Source organism: Homo sapiens, chromosome 19, assembly GCF_000001405.40.
Source record: "Homo sapiens chromosome 19, GRCh38.p14 Primary Assembly".
Lineage (NCBI taxonomy): Eukaryota > Metazoa > Chordata > Mammalia > Primates > Hominidae > Homo > Homo sapiens.
In genome coordinates this window covers 41,177,984-41,191,938 of record NC_000019.10, presented here as the reverse complement: position 1 = coordinate 41,191,938, position 13,955 = coordinate 41,177,984, and the positions used below count along the sequence as shown (strand labels likewise).

Sequence of the window (13,955 nt, the reverse complement as noted above, 5' to 3'; positions counted from 1 at the left end):
ACACCTGTATACCCATCAGATTCCACCATTTTATTATCCTTTCTTTGTTACCTATCTATTCTTTTTTTGTTTGAGATAGAGTCTCACTCTGTTGCCCAGAGTGGAGTGCAATAGCATACAGTCTTGGCTCATTGCAACCTCTGCCTCCCGGGTTCAAGCAATTCTCCTGCTTCAGCCTCTCAAGTAGCTGCGATTACAGGCGTGCACCACCATGCCTGGCTATTTTTTGTATTTTTAGTAGAGACGGGGTTTTTGCCATGTTGACCAGGCTGGTCTCAAACTCCTGACCTCAGGTGATCTTCTCACCTCAGCCTCCCAAAGTGCTGGGATTACAGGCATGAGCCACTGTGCCTGGCCCTTTTTTCATTACATATCTGTTCATTTTGCCTATCCATTGATTTTTTTTTAAGCATTTCAAAGTCAGTTGCAGATACCAGTACACTTCACTCCCAAATACATCAGCATGCATATCAGTAGCTAGAGCTCAGTATTTGTTTACAGATACTTTTTGTTCCTCAAGGTATCTTATATACAATGAAATACATAACTCTTAAGTGTATAATTAGATGAGCTTTGAGTTGCATATGCTGGAGTTTTAAAATATTAGATTCTTTGGGAGGCTGAGGCGGGCGGATCACGAGGTCAGGAGATCGAGACCATCCTGGCTAAAATGGTGAAACCCCGTCTCTACTAAAAATACAAAAAATTAGCCGGGCGTAGTGGCGGGCGCCTGTAGTCCCAGCTACTTGGGAGGCTGAGGCAGGAGAATGGCGTGAACCCGGGAGGCGGAGCTTGCAGTGAGCCGAGATCCCGCCACTGCACTCCAGCCTGGGCGACAGAGCGAGACTCCGTCTCAAAAAAAAAAAAAAAAAAAAAAAAATTAGATTCTTAGAATTTTCACAATCTTTTTTTGAGACAGGGTCTCGCTCTGTTGCCCAGGCTGGAGTGCAGTGGCACGATCTTGGCTCACTGCAATCTCTGCCTCCTGGGTTCATGTGATTCTCCTGCCTCAGCCTCCTGAGTAGCTGGGATTACAAGCGCCCACCACCACTCCCAGCTAACTTTTGTATTTTTAGTAGAGTTGGGGTTTCACCATGTTGGCCAGGCTGGTCTCGACCTCCTGACCTCAGGCAATTTACCCACCTCGGCCTCCCACAGTGCTGGGATTACAGGCATGAGCCACTGCCCCCGGCCTGCAATCTTGCAATTTGTATTCTAGTCCAGAGCCCTTTCTCTCAAGAGCATAGCCAGAGTGCTCCCTGGAGTCTGGGGAATCCTTGACTGTGGTCTTCTTTAGCATTGATTCTAGCCTCTAACATTCCAGGGGTGCCCTGAAGCCAAAGGAGGAGGGGTGGGGAGGCTCATACGCTCTTGCTATGAAGTAAATGCCAGTTCTCAGTTCCTCCTTTGCCTTGTTCTGGAAGGTTTCTAGGACGTTCCAAATCCAACCTTGAGCCTATCTGCTCCCTCTGTTCTACCCCTGGGAGAGCTAACAGACATCTCAAACTTCATGGATATAAAAGAATTCCCGATTCCCCCACCTCCTGCAAAGTGGGCTGTACCAGCTTCCCACCCCATCTGGGAATACTTTCTCTCACCTCCTTCCTTACCTCTGTAAAAGGTATCACCATCTTTTCACTTGCTGATGACAACAAAATATAGGAGAGGCCGGGCGCGGTGTCTCATGCCTGCAATCCCAGTACTTTGGGAGGCTGAGGTGGGCAGATCACCTGAGGTCAGGAGTTTGAGACCAGCCTGGCCAACATGGTGAAACCCCGTCTCTACTAAAAATACAAAATTAGCCAGGTGTGGTGGTGCATGCCTGTAATCCCAGCTACTCAGGGAGGCTGAGGCAGGAGAATCGCTTGAATCCGGGAGGCGGAGGTTGCAGTGAGCCGAGATCGCGCCATTGCACTCCAGCTTGGGCAACAAGAGTGAAACTCCGTCTCAAAAAAAAAATAGGAGGAGGGGAAAAAATTAGTTTCATTAGACAACACATCCTTCTGGGTTATCAGATTCTGGTCTTGTTCATTGTTTTTACAGCCATCTTTCCCCCTGATGCAATAGTCTTTCTGCATAATGTCTCTACTCGCCTGAGACCACATCTGTTTTTATTTGTCAGGTTTAACCTTGATTTCTCTCTTTGACTTTAAACCCAGTTTGTCAGCAAATCCTGCTGGCTCTACCTCCAAATACATTCCAAATTTATCCATTTCCTCCTTTCCCTACCACCCTGATCCAACTGACACCAGCCCTGATTCAAGGTACTGTCATTGCTTGCCAGGATTTTGCAGTAGCTTCCCCACTGAGCTACCTGCTTCCTCTCTCCTTCTCCCCCTCCTCCACAATTCATTCACTGGATGCCAGCCAGAAAGGTCTTTTTAAATGCAAGGAGAAAACTAATCTACGGTGGGAGGGAAGAGGGATCAGTACAGACTCCAGGGAGCATTCTCGTTTTGTTTTTGAGACAAAGGTCTCCAGCCTAGAATAAAAATAGAAAGACTGTTGACCAGGCACAGTGGCCAAGGCGGGTGGATCACCTGAGGTCAGGAGTTTGAGACCAGCCTAGCCAGCGTGGTGAAATCCTGTCTCTACTGAAAATATAAAAATTAACCGGCCAGGCGCAGTGGCTCACGCCTGTAATCCCAGTACTTTGGGAGACCGAGGTGGGTGGATCACGGGGTCAGGAGTTCAAGACCAGTCTGGCCAAGATGATGAAACCCCGTCTCTACTAAAAATACAAAAATTAGCCAGACGTGGTGGTGGGCACTTCTAATCCCAGCTAGTCGGGAGGCTGTGGCAGAGAATTGCTTGCTTGAACCCACAAGGCGGAGGTTTCAGTGAGCTGAGATCTCCCCACTGAACTCTAGCCTGGGCGACAGAACGAGACTCCGTCTCAAAAAAAAAAAAAAAATTAACTGGATGTGGTGGTGCACGCCTGTAGTCCCCAGCCACTGGGGTGGCTGAGGCAGGAGAATCACTTGAACCCAGGAGGTGGAGGTTGTAGTGAGCCAAGATTGTGCCACTGTACTCCAGCCTGGGCGATAAAGTGAGACTCAGTGTCAAAAAAAAAAAAAAAAAAAAAAAAAAAATATATATATATATATATATATGGCAAGATTATTATAAAGATTCCATGTCTAATGTTTAAAGATGATGATTGCAACATCCTATAGATAAGAAAACTTAAAAGTTCTTGCCGGGCGTGGTGGCTCACGCCTGTAATCCCAGCACTTTGGGAGGCCGAGACGGGCAGATCACGAGGTCAGGAGATCAAGACCATCCTGGCTAACGCGGTGAAACCCCATCTCTACTAAAAATACAAAAAATTAGCCGGGCGTGGTGTCAGGCGTCTATAGTCCCAGCTACTCGGCAGGCTGAGGCAGGAGAATGGCGTGAACCTGGGAGGTGGAGCTTGCAGTGAGCTGAGATTGTGCCACTGCACTCCAGCCTGGGTGACAGAGTGAGACTCCGTCTGAAAAAAAAAAAAAAATTAGCCGGTTATGGTGGCACGTGCCTGTAATCGCAGCTACTCTGGAGGCTGAGGCAGGAGGATTGCTTGAACCCAAGAGGCAGAGGTTGCAGTGAGCTGAGATTGTGCCACTGCCTTCCAGCCTGGGCAACAGAGTGAGACTCCGTCTCAAAAAAAAAGGGAACTTATTCCTTCTGTCTAGGTGTATTAACCAACCTCTCTCCCCACCCCACCCCACCCATACGCCTTTCCCAGTCTCTAGTATCCATCATTCCATTCTCTACCTCCATGTGATCAACTTTTTTAGCTTCCACTTGGGAGTAAGAACATGCATTGTTTATCTTTCTGTGCCTGGCTTATTTCAATTAATGTAATGACCTCCAGTTACATCCATGTGTAATTGTAATAGGTTTGTTGCCCAATGCACACAGCAAGTCAGTATATCGAGACACTGTGAAACCATTCCCACAGGGCTGACAAGAATTGCATGCTGGGTTCTGGACAGAAACATACTTATAATTAAGTGTTATTCGGGCTGCACTTTGGTCCATTTCCTTGTTGCTAAAACTCAGGTAGAGCTAGATACTGACCATGTGCACCCCCATTGTTCCTATAGACAGAATCTCTGATATTAGAGTCATAAGGCTTTTGTTAAAGAAAGAATCACTTAAGATGCTTTTCAGGGCCAGGCACGGTGGCTCACACCCATAATCCCAACACTTTGGGAGGCTGAGGTGGGTAGGTCACTTGAGGTCAGGACTTCAAGATCAACCCAGTCAACATGGTGAAACCCTATCTCTACTAAAAATACAAAGGACATTAGCGGAGTGGAGGTGGTGGGGGGAGGTGGTTCACACCTGTAATCCCAGCTACTCAGGAGGCTGAGACAGGAGAATTGCTTGAACCCAGGAGGCAGAGGTTGCAGTGAGCCGAGATTGTACCACTATACTCCAACCTGGGAGACAGAGTGAGACTCCATCTCAATAATAATAATAATAATAATAATAATAATAATAATAATAATAAATACATAAACAAAAATGTAAAAAGATGCTTTTCAGACCTTGAATTCCAGCAACCAGTGTGAAGGCTACCCACTGGGGAATGGGATCAGCATGAGAATGTGGCTTCTTCATCTCCCTGTCCCGTGACTTCACCCTACATTCTTCAACTCCTCATCTCTTTTGGCGACCCTACGATGAAACCTCTTCTCTCCTGCAACCCAGTGTCTCCTGTTGATTTGCTGTGTGCACTGGGCAATGAGCCTACTACAGTTATAACTGGTTTGCAGCAGAGAAGCAGGTTTAATTGTAGGGTCACTGAATGAGGAGATGGGGGGAAACCTCACATCCATCTCCCCTAAGAGTTTGGGGCTAGGGTGTTCAAGGGTTTTGGAGTGGGCTGAAGGGTGGAGATCGTTGATTGGTTGAAGAGTGCAGAGTGAAGTCACGGGACAGAGGGTGGAAGAAGAAGTTATAGTCTCATGCTGATCCCTTTCACTCGCGTCCGTGTGAAGAGACCACCAAACAGGCTTTGTGTGAGCAACAAGGCTGTTTATTTCACCTGGGTGCAGGCGGGCTGAGTCCAAAAAGAGTCAGTGAAGGGAGATAGGGGTGGGGCCGTTTTATAGGATTTGGGTAGGTAGTGGAAAATTACAGTCAAAGGGGGTTGTTCTCTGGCTGGCAGGGGTGGGGGTCACAAGGTGTTCAGCCGGGGAGCTTTTGAGCCAGGATGAGCCAGGAGAAGGAATTTCACAAGGTAATGTCATCAGTTAAGGCAGGAACAGGCCATTTTCACTTCTTTTGTGATTCTTCAGTTACTTCAGGCCATCTAGATGTATACGTGCAGGTCACAGGGGATGTGATGGCTTAGCTTGGGCTCAGAGGCCTGACAATCCCCATCCTCTGTAGGGGTCTTCAAACTGGTGGCTGGAATTGGGGGTCCAAAAAACATCTGACGTGATCCTTAACAAAAACATCATGATTCTAAGGTCAGCGATGCTGTCTATAAGAACAATGGGGATACAAATGGTCAGCATCTAGAGCTATGTGGCTTTCAGCAACAAGGAAGTGGACCAAAGTGCAGCATGATTAATGCTTAATTTTCTTTCTTTCTTTCTTTTTCTTTTTTTTTTTTTTTTTTGAGTCTCACTCTGTCACCCAAGCTGGGAGTGCAATGGCATGATCTCGGCTCACTGCAACCTCTGCCTCCCGGGTTCAAGCAATTCTGCCTAGGCCTCCCAAGTAGCTGAGATTACAGGCACCTGCCATCACACCCAGCTACTTTTTGTATTTTTAGTAGAGACAGGGTTTCACCATGTTGGCCAGGCTGGTCTCGAACACCTGCCCTCAAGTGATCTGCCCACCTCGGCCTCGCAAAGTGCTGGGATTACAGGTGTGAGCCACTGTGCCCAGCCAATGCTTAATTATATTTCTATCTAGAACCTGGCTTGCAGTTCTTGTCAACCCTGTAGGGACAGACAGTTTCACATGTTGCTGCAAATGACAGGATTTTATTCTTTTTCTAACGGCCAAATAGTTTTCCATTGTGTAGATGTACCACATATTCTTTATCCATTCATCTGTTGATGGACATTTAGGTTGATTCCATATCTTTGCTATTGTGAATAGTGCTGTAATAAACATTGCTGTGTAGCTATCCCTTTGATACACTGATTTCTTTTCCTTTCCATAAATTCCCAGTAGTGGGATTGCTGGATCATATGATTGTTTTTTGTTTGTTTTTTGAGATGGAGTCTTGCTCTGTCGCCCATGCTGGAGTGCAGTGGTGCCATCTCGGCTCACTGCAAGCTTCGCCTCCTGGGTTCACGCCATTCTCCTGCCTCAGCCTTCTGAGTAGCTGGGACTACAGGTGCCCGCCGCCATGGCCAGCTAATTTTTTTTTTTTTTTGTATTTTTAGTAGAGACGGGGTTTCACCGTGTTAGCCAGGATGGTCTGGATCTCCTGACCTTGTGATCCACCCACCTCGGCCTCCCAAAGTGCTGGGATTACAGGCGTGAGCCACCGCACCCAGCCCTTATGATAGTTTTTTGAGAAATTTCCATACTGTTTCTCATAGTGGCTGGACTAATTTACATTCTCACCAACAGGGTATGTTTCCTTTCCTCCACATCATTGCCAACGTGTATTATTTTTTGTCTTTTTATATTTTATATATTGATTCACTTTCTTTTTTGAGATGGAGTCTCACACTTGTTGCCCAGGCTGGAGTGCAGTGGTGTGATCTCCGTTCACTGCAACCTCTGCCTCCTGGATTCAAGTGATACTCCTGCCTCAGCTTCCTGAGTAGCTGGGACTACAGGCATGTGACACCATGCCTAGCTAATTTTTGTATTTTTAGTAGAGACAGGGTTTCACCATGTTGGCCAGGCTGGTCTTGAACTTCTGACCTCACTCAAGTGATCCACCCACCTTGGCCTCCCAAAGTTCTGGTATTACAGGCATGAGCCACTGGGCCCGGCCCTGCCCGGCCTACTTTTTTTTTTTTTTAAAGACAGAGTTTTGCTCTGTTGCCTAAGCTGGAGTGCAGTAGTGTGATCTCTGCTCACTGAAGCCTCTGCCTCACAGATGTCAGCGATCCTCCTGCCTCGACCTCCTGAGTAGCTGGGACTACAGGTACGCGCTCCATGCCTGGCTAATTTTTTGTAGAGACAGGGTTTAGCTATGTTGCCCAGGGCTCAAGCGATCCACCTGCCTCGGCCTCCCAAAGTTCTGGGATTACTGGTGGGAGCCACTGCTCCCGACCTTGATTTGCTTTTTTATACTCCCTTTTCCCACTGAAATGGTCTCTCCATAAGGGCCGATTCTCTGTCTGTTTTGTGTGTTGCTGTATCCCCAGTGCCTAACACACTGTGGATGCTCAATAAACATCTTGTCGAATAAACACTTTCAATACAATTTATAAATCTCTAAAATTCATCCAGAAAGCAATCAAGTGTCCAAAATTCTCAAGTCTAGAAAGCAAACATTCTTAGGTTCCCAAGATAGATTTCACAGTAACTGAGTGATTCCAGGTGGATTCTGGCCTTTCTGCAATGCCAAATCCCCACCCTGGGCCAGGAGATGCCCATTTGTATAGTTCAGCTGAAAACAGCCTGACTTTTTCCACCACTCCTTGCCCTGACCCCAGCTACTTCCCATCAGAAACCCTCTGATCTGGGCTGGACAGTGCTGGAGTGATCATTTTTGTGTCTGGCCCCCTACTGTGGATTTTCTTTTTCTTTCTTTCTTTTTTTTTTTTTGAGACGGAGTCTCGCTCTGTTGCCCAGGTGGAGTGCAATGGCGCGATCTCGGCTCACTGCAATATCTGCCTCCCGGGTTCAAGTGATTCTCCTGCCCCAGCCTCCCGAGTAGCTGGGATTACAGGCGCATGCCACCATGCCCAGCTAATTTTTTGTATTTTTAGTAGAGACGGGGTTTCACCGTGTTAACCAGTATGGTTTCGATCTCCTGACCTAGTGATCCGCCTGCCTTGGCTTCCCTAAGTGCTGGGATTACAGGCATGAGCCACCGCGCCTGACCACTACTGTGGATTTTCCTAACCATTCTGGAAGCTGCCAACCCCAGGGTTCTGGCAAGCTGTGTGATGGATGGGTTTAAGAAACTGCTGGGGGATTTAGTTTGCTAAGGCTCCTCCAAGCATATGGCTCTGGAACCCCACCTGCTGTCCAAGGCTAAGCCACAGCCTGTCTGCTCTGTGGTCCACTTTACCAGGCTCACTCTGCCTGCCCACTCTGATTTTTTCCTCTCAGTCTTGTTTATCTTAGTCTCTCTCCTTTCTCTTCTTCAGAGGTGCCTCATTCAGCACCTGGAACTAGATAGAAGGGGAAGTCCAAGATGAGTCCTGCTTCCAGGCCTTGGACTTCCCCAGATTCTGTGAGCATCATCCGTGGCTGGGAATAGTGTCAGTGAGTTGAGGTGATTACATCATCGACCCCAAAGCAGCAATGTTCTCTGCTCTGGGCTTCTACAGCCGTCTCGTCATCCTATCCCTCCTCCCTTCCCTATTTATCCTGTCATCCATCCACTCGTGCACCCCACCATCAGGAGAGCACTGCCTCCCCCATGCTCTCATTTACCCCCACCTATCCCTTATCCAGTCCTTCATTCCATCCCCTCATCCCACTGCTCATCCTGTCCCATTATCCTACATCCTCACCCCATCACCTCACCCCATCCTTTCTTTTCCTGACATGTTCTATGTACTGTGGACCTAAAAGAAAGAAGTCAAGGGGTGGGTGCAGTGGCTCATGCCTGTAATCCCAGCACTTTGGGAGGCCGGGGCGGGCAGATCACCTGAGGTCAGGAGTTTGAGACCTGCCTGGCCAACATGGAGAAAACCCATCTCCACTAAACATACAAAAATTAGCTGGGCGTGGTGGCGCGCACCTTATTGGCCAGGCTGGTCTCAAACTCCTGAGAGTTATGTTATTTTTGTAAACCAATAAGAATTCCTGACAAGCATTTTTTTTTTTTTTTTTTTTTAGCGGGGGTGGTTATTGAGTTTTTTTGAGACAGGGTCTCACCCCATAGCCCAGACTGGAGTGCAGTGGCAGGTTCATGGCTCACTGCAGCCTCGACCTCCCAGGCCCAGGTGATTCTCCCACCTCAGCCTCCTGAGTAGGTGGAATCACAGGCATGCACCACCATGCCTGCCTAATTTTTGTACTTTTTTTTGTAGAGATGAGGTTTCGCCATGTTGCCCAGTCTGGTCTTAAACTCTTGGGCTCAAGCGATCCACTTGTGTCAGTCCCACTCCCTGTCCCCCTTTTTTTACCTTTAAAAATCCACTTGTTCGCTGGGCACAGTGGCTCATGCCTGTAATCCCAGCACTGTGGGAGGCCATGGTGGGCAGATCACCTGAGGTCAGAAGTTCGAGACCAGCCTGGCAGACATGGAGAAACCACGCCTCTACTAAAAATACAAAAACTAAGAAAAACTAAAAAAAAAAAAAAAGATTAAAATAAAAATTCAAAAACTAGCCAGGGATGGTGGTGCACGTCTGCAATCCCAGCTACTTGGGAGGCTGAGGCAGGAGGATTGCTTGAAACTGGGAGGCAGAGGTGCATCAGCTGAGATCGCGCCATTGCACTCCAGCCCAGGCAAGAGAGTGAGACTCCGTCTCAAAAAAGAAAAAAAATCCACTGGTAGGCTGAGGCAAGAGGATCATTTAATCCCAGGAGTTCAAGACTGTGGTGAGCTATGATCTTGTTGCTACCCTCCAGCCTGGGTGACACGGTGAGACCCTGTCTCAGACCAAAAAATAAAATAAAATAAAATAAAATAAATCCAACTTGCAAGTACTGCTAAATCAGAGTGCATATTCAGGGCAATTTGAATCTATACTTCTGATTTGCAACCCTCAAGCTTGGCTCAAATAAATAAACTCTCTACTTTTGCCTTGACTTCTTCGTTTTTGTTTTTTTTTTTTTAACGGAGTCTCCCTCTGTTGCCCAGGCTGGAGTGCAGTGGCACGATCTCAGCTCACTGCAACCTCTGCCTCCCAAGTTCAAGCAATTCTCCTGCCTCAGCTTCCTGAGTAGCTGCGATTACAGACGCCTGCCACCATGCCCAACTAATTTTTTTTATTCTTTTTTTTTTTTTTTTTTTTTTTAATTTTTTTTTATTGATCATTCTTGGGTGTTTCTCGCAGAGGGGGATTTGGCAGGGTCATAGGACAATAGTGGAGGGAAGGTTGGCAGATAAACAAGTGAACAAAGGTCTCTGGTTTTCCTAGGCAGAGGACCCTGCGGCCTTCCGCAGTGTTTGTGTCCCTGGGTACTTGAGATTAAGGAGTGGTGATGACTCTTAACGAGCATGCTGCCTTCAAGCATCTGTTTAACAAAGCACATCTTGCACCGCCCTTAATCCATTTAACCCTGAGTGGACACAGCACATGTTTCAGAGAGCACAGGGTTGGGGGTAAGGTCACCGATCAACAGGATCCCAAGGCAGAAGAATTTATCTTAGTACAGAACAAAATGAAAAGTCTCCCATGTCTACTTCTTTCTACACAGACCCGGCAACCATCCGATTTCTCAATCTTTTCCCCACCTTTCCCCCCTTTCTATTCCACAAAACCGCCATTGTCATCCCGGCCCGTTCTCAATGAGCTGTTGGGTACACCTCCCAGACGAGGTGGTGGCTGGGAGAGGGGCTCCTCACTTCCTAGTAGGGGCGGCCGGGCAGAGGCGCCCCTCACCTCCCGGACGGGGCGTCTGGCCGGGCGGGGGGCTGACCCCCCCACCTCCCTCCCGGACGGGGCGGCTGGCCGGGCGGGGGGCTGACCCCCCCACCTCCCTCCCGGACGGGCTGGCTGGCCGGGCGGGGGCTGTCCCCCCCACCTCCCTCCCGGACGGGGCGGCTGGCCGGGCGGGGTGCTGATCCCCCCACCTCCCTCCCGGACGGGTCGGCTGGCCGGGCGGGGGGCTGAGCCCCCCACCTCCCTCCCGGACGGGGCGGCTGGCCGGGTGGGGGGCTGACTCCCCCACCTCCCTCCTGGACGGGGTGGCTGGCCAGGCAGAGGGGCTCCTCACTTCCCAGTAGGGGCGGCTGGGCAGAGGTGCCCCTCACCTCCCGGACGGGGCGGCTGGCCGGGCGGGGGGCTGACCCCACCTCCCTCCCAGACGGGGCGGCTGGCCGGGCGGGGGGCTGACCCCCCCACCTCCCTCCTGGACAGGGCGGCTGGCCGGGCAGGGGGCTGACCCCCCCACCTCCCTCCCGGACGGGGCGGCTGGCCGGGTGGGGGGCTGACTCCCCCACCTCCCTCCTGGACGGGGTGGCTGGCCAGGCAGAGGGGCTCCTCACTTCCCAGTAGGGGCGGCTGGGCAGAGGCGCCCCTCACCTCCCGGACGGGGCGGCTGGCCGGGAGGGGGGCTGACCCCCCACCTCCCTCCCGGACGGGGCGGCTGGCCGGGCGGGGGGCTGACCCCCCCACCTCCCTCCCGGATGGGGCGGCTGGCCGGGCGGGGGGCTGACCGCCCCCACCTCCCTCCCGGACGGGGGGCTGACCCCCCCACCTCCCTCCCGGACGGGGCGGCTGGCCGGGCGGGGGGCTGACCCCCCCACCTCCCTCCCGGCCGGGGCGGCTGCCGGGCGGAGACGCTCCTCACTTCCCAGACTGGGTGGCTGCCGGGCAGAGGGACTCCTCACTTCTCAGACGGGGCGGCTGCCGGGCGGAGGGGCTCCTCACTTCTCAGATGGGGCGGATGCTGGGCGGAGGGTCTCCTCACTTCTCAGACGGGGCGGCCGGGCAGAGACGCTCCTCACCTCCCAGACGGGGCGGCGGGGCAGAGGCGCTCCCCACATCTCAGACGATGGGCGGCCGGGCAGAGACGCTCCTCACTTCCCAGATGGGATGGCTGCCGGGAAGAGGCGCTCCTCACTTCCTAGATGGGATGGCGGCCGGTCAGAGACGCTCCTCACTTTCCAGACTGGGCAGCCAGGCAGAGGGGCTCCTCACGTCCCAGACGATGGGCGGCCAGGCAGAGACGCTCCTCACTTCCCAGACGGGGTGGTGGCCGGGCAGAGGCTGCAATCTCGGCACTTTGGGAGGCCAAGGCAGGCGGCTGGGAGATGGAGGTTGTAGCGAGCTGAGATCACGCCACTGCACTCCAGCCTGGGCACCATTGAGCGCTGAGTGAACCAGACTCCGTCTGCAATCCCGGCACCTCGGGAGGCCAAGGCTGGCGGATCACTCGCGGTTAGGAGCTGGAGACCGGCCCCATTTTTTTTATTCTTAATAGAATTGGGGTTTCACCATGTTGGCCAGGCTAGTCTCGAACTCCTGGCCTCAAGTGATCCACCCACCTTGGCCTCCCAAAGTGCTGGGATTACAGGCGTAAGCCACTGCACCAGGCCTAAAAGTTCTTTTCTAAGTACTACTCTTCGTAGCTGGGTGAGGGTGCAAGAAGAAAAAAATAAGGCACTGCTCCTACAAATTCATATCAGGAAGGCAACCATAAGTTGAGAAAAATAAAATTTCGGGTCTCCTGGGGGACAGCTTTTGCTTCCTTTCCTTCATCTCCCTCTGTATCCAACTATCACCTGGTTCCACCCCCTCCAGTCCCCTTATTAAAAAAAAAAAAAGGTATTTCAAAAGTATATATATATTTTTTGAGACGGAGTCTCGCTCTGTCGCCCAGGCTGGAGTGCAGTGGCGCGATCTCGGCTCACTGCAAGCTCCACCTCCCGGGTTCACGCCATTCTCCTGCCTCAGCCTTCTGAGTAGCTGGGACTACAGGCGCCCGCCACCACACCTGGCTAATTTTTTTGTATTTTTAATAGAGACGGGGTTTCACCGTGTTAGCCAGGATGGTCTTGATCTCCTGACCTCGTGATCCGCCCGCCTCGGCCTCCCAAAGTGCTGGGATTACAGGCGTGAGCCACCGTGCTCAACCAAGTATACGTTTTTGAGACAGGATTTCGAACCGTTGCCCAGGCTGGAGTACAGTGTTTTGGTGGGGTCATTACACCCTCCACCTTCCCGGGTCATGTGACCCTCCCATCTCAGCCTTGTAGATAGCTGGGACTACGGGTGCATGCCACCATACTTGGCCAACTTTTAAATGTTTTGTAGAGATGAGGTCTCACTATATTGCCCAGGGTTGTCTTGAACTTCTGGCTCAAGCCATCTTCCCTCCTTGGCCCCTCAAAATGTTGGGATTACAGGCGTGAGCCACTGTGCCCAGCCTCCAAAATATATGTTATTTTAAAAATAATAATAATTACTGTTTTTTGAGACAGAGTCTCGCTCTGTCACCCAGGCTGGAGTGCAGTGGAGTGGTCTCAGTTCACTGCAACCTCTGCCTCCCAGGTTCAAGCAATTTTATATTTTTAGTAGGGACAGGGTTTCACCATGTTGGCCAGGTTGGTCTCAAACTCCTGACCTCAGGTGTTCCGCCCACTTCGGCCTCCCAAAGTGCTGGGATTACAGGCGTGAGCTACTGCACCCAGCCAAAAATAATTATTCCTTTTTCTTGAAATGGAGTCTTGTTCTGTCGCCCAGGCTGGAGTGCGGTGGCATGATCTCAGCTCACTGCAACCTCTGCCTCCGGGGTTCAAGTGATTCTCCTGCCTCAGCCTTCCCAGTAGCTGGGACTACAGGCACACACCACCATGCCCAGCTAATTTTTGTATTTTTAGTAGAGACAGGGTTTCACCATGTTGGCCAGGCTGGTCTCAAACTCCTGGCCTCAAGTGATCCACCCGCCTCAGCCTCCCAAAGTGCTGGGATTACAGGCGTGGGCCACCGCGCCTGGCCTTGAAAATAATTATTTCAAATACAGACATGGAGAAAGGATTAGAGGAATTACCACGATTATACATACACACCTATCTTTACAATATCTTAACATTTTTACCATTATTTATTTAGAGAAATAAAATACTCATGACCGGGTTTGGGGTTCCCTGTATCCCTTCTGAAACGTCACATCCTTCTCTCCCTCCTACAGGGGAAGCA

General features: G+C 50.7%; 1 protein-coding gene and 1 pseudogene across 1 annotated transcript in view, besides 1 other annotated feature; both read left to right on the top strand.

Annotated features, from left to right (window-relative positions):
- LOC124904790 (uncharacterized) overlaps positions 1 to 13,955 on the top strand; it is a 57,419-nt gene that overhangs the window by 1,114 nt on the left and 42,350 nt on the right. The window lies entirely within an intron of this gene.
- On the top strand, positions 710 to 1,012 carry RN7SL718P (RNA, 7SL, cytoplasmic 718, pseudogene; annotated as a pseudogene).
- Positions 9,904 to 10,693: an enhancer, noted in NCBI's record as "NANOG-H3K27ac-H3K4me1 hESC enhancer chr19:41687151-41687940 (GRCh37/hg19 assembly coordinates)". NCBI's record gives its function as "activates a minimal SCP1, AML or CMV promoter by ChIP-STARR-seq in naive H9 embryonic stem cells {active_cell/tissue: H9 hESC(naive)}" and the evidence as "EXISTENCE:reporter gene assay evidence [ECO:0000049][PMID:30033119]".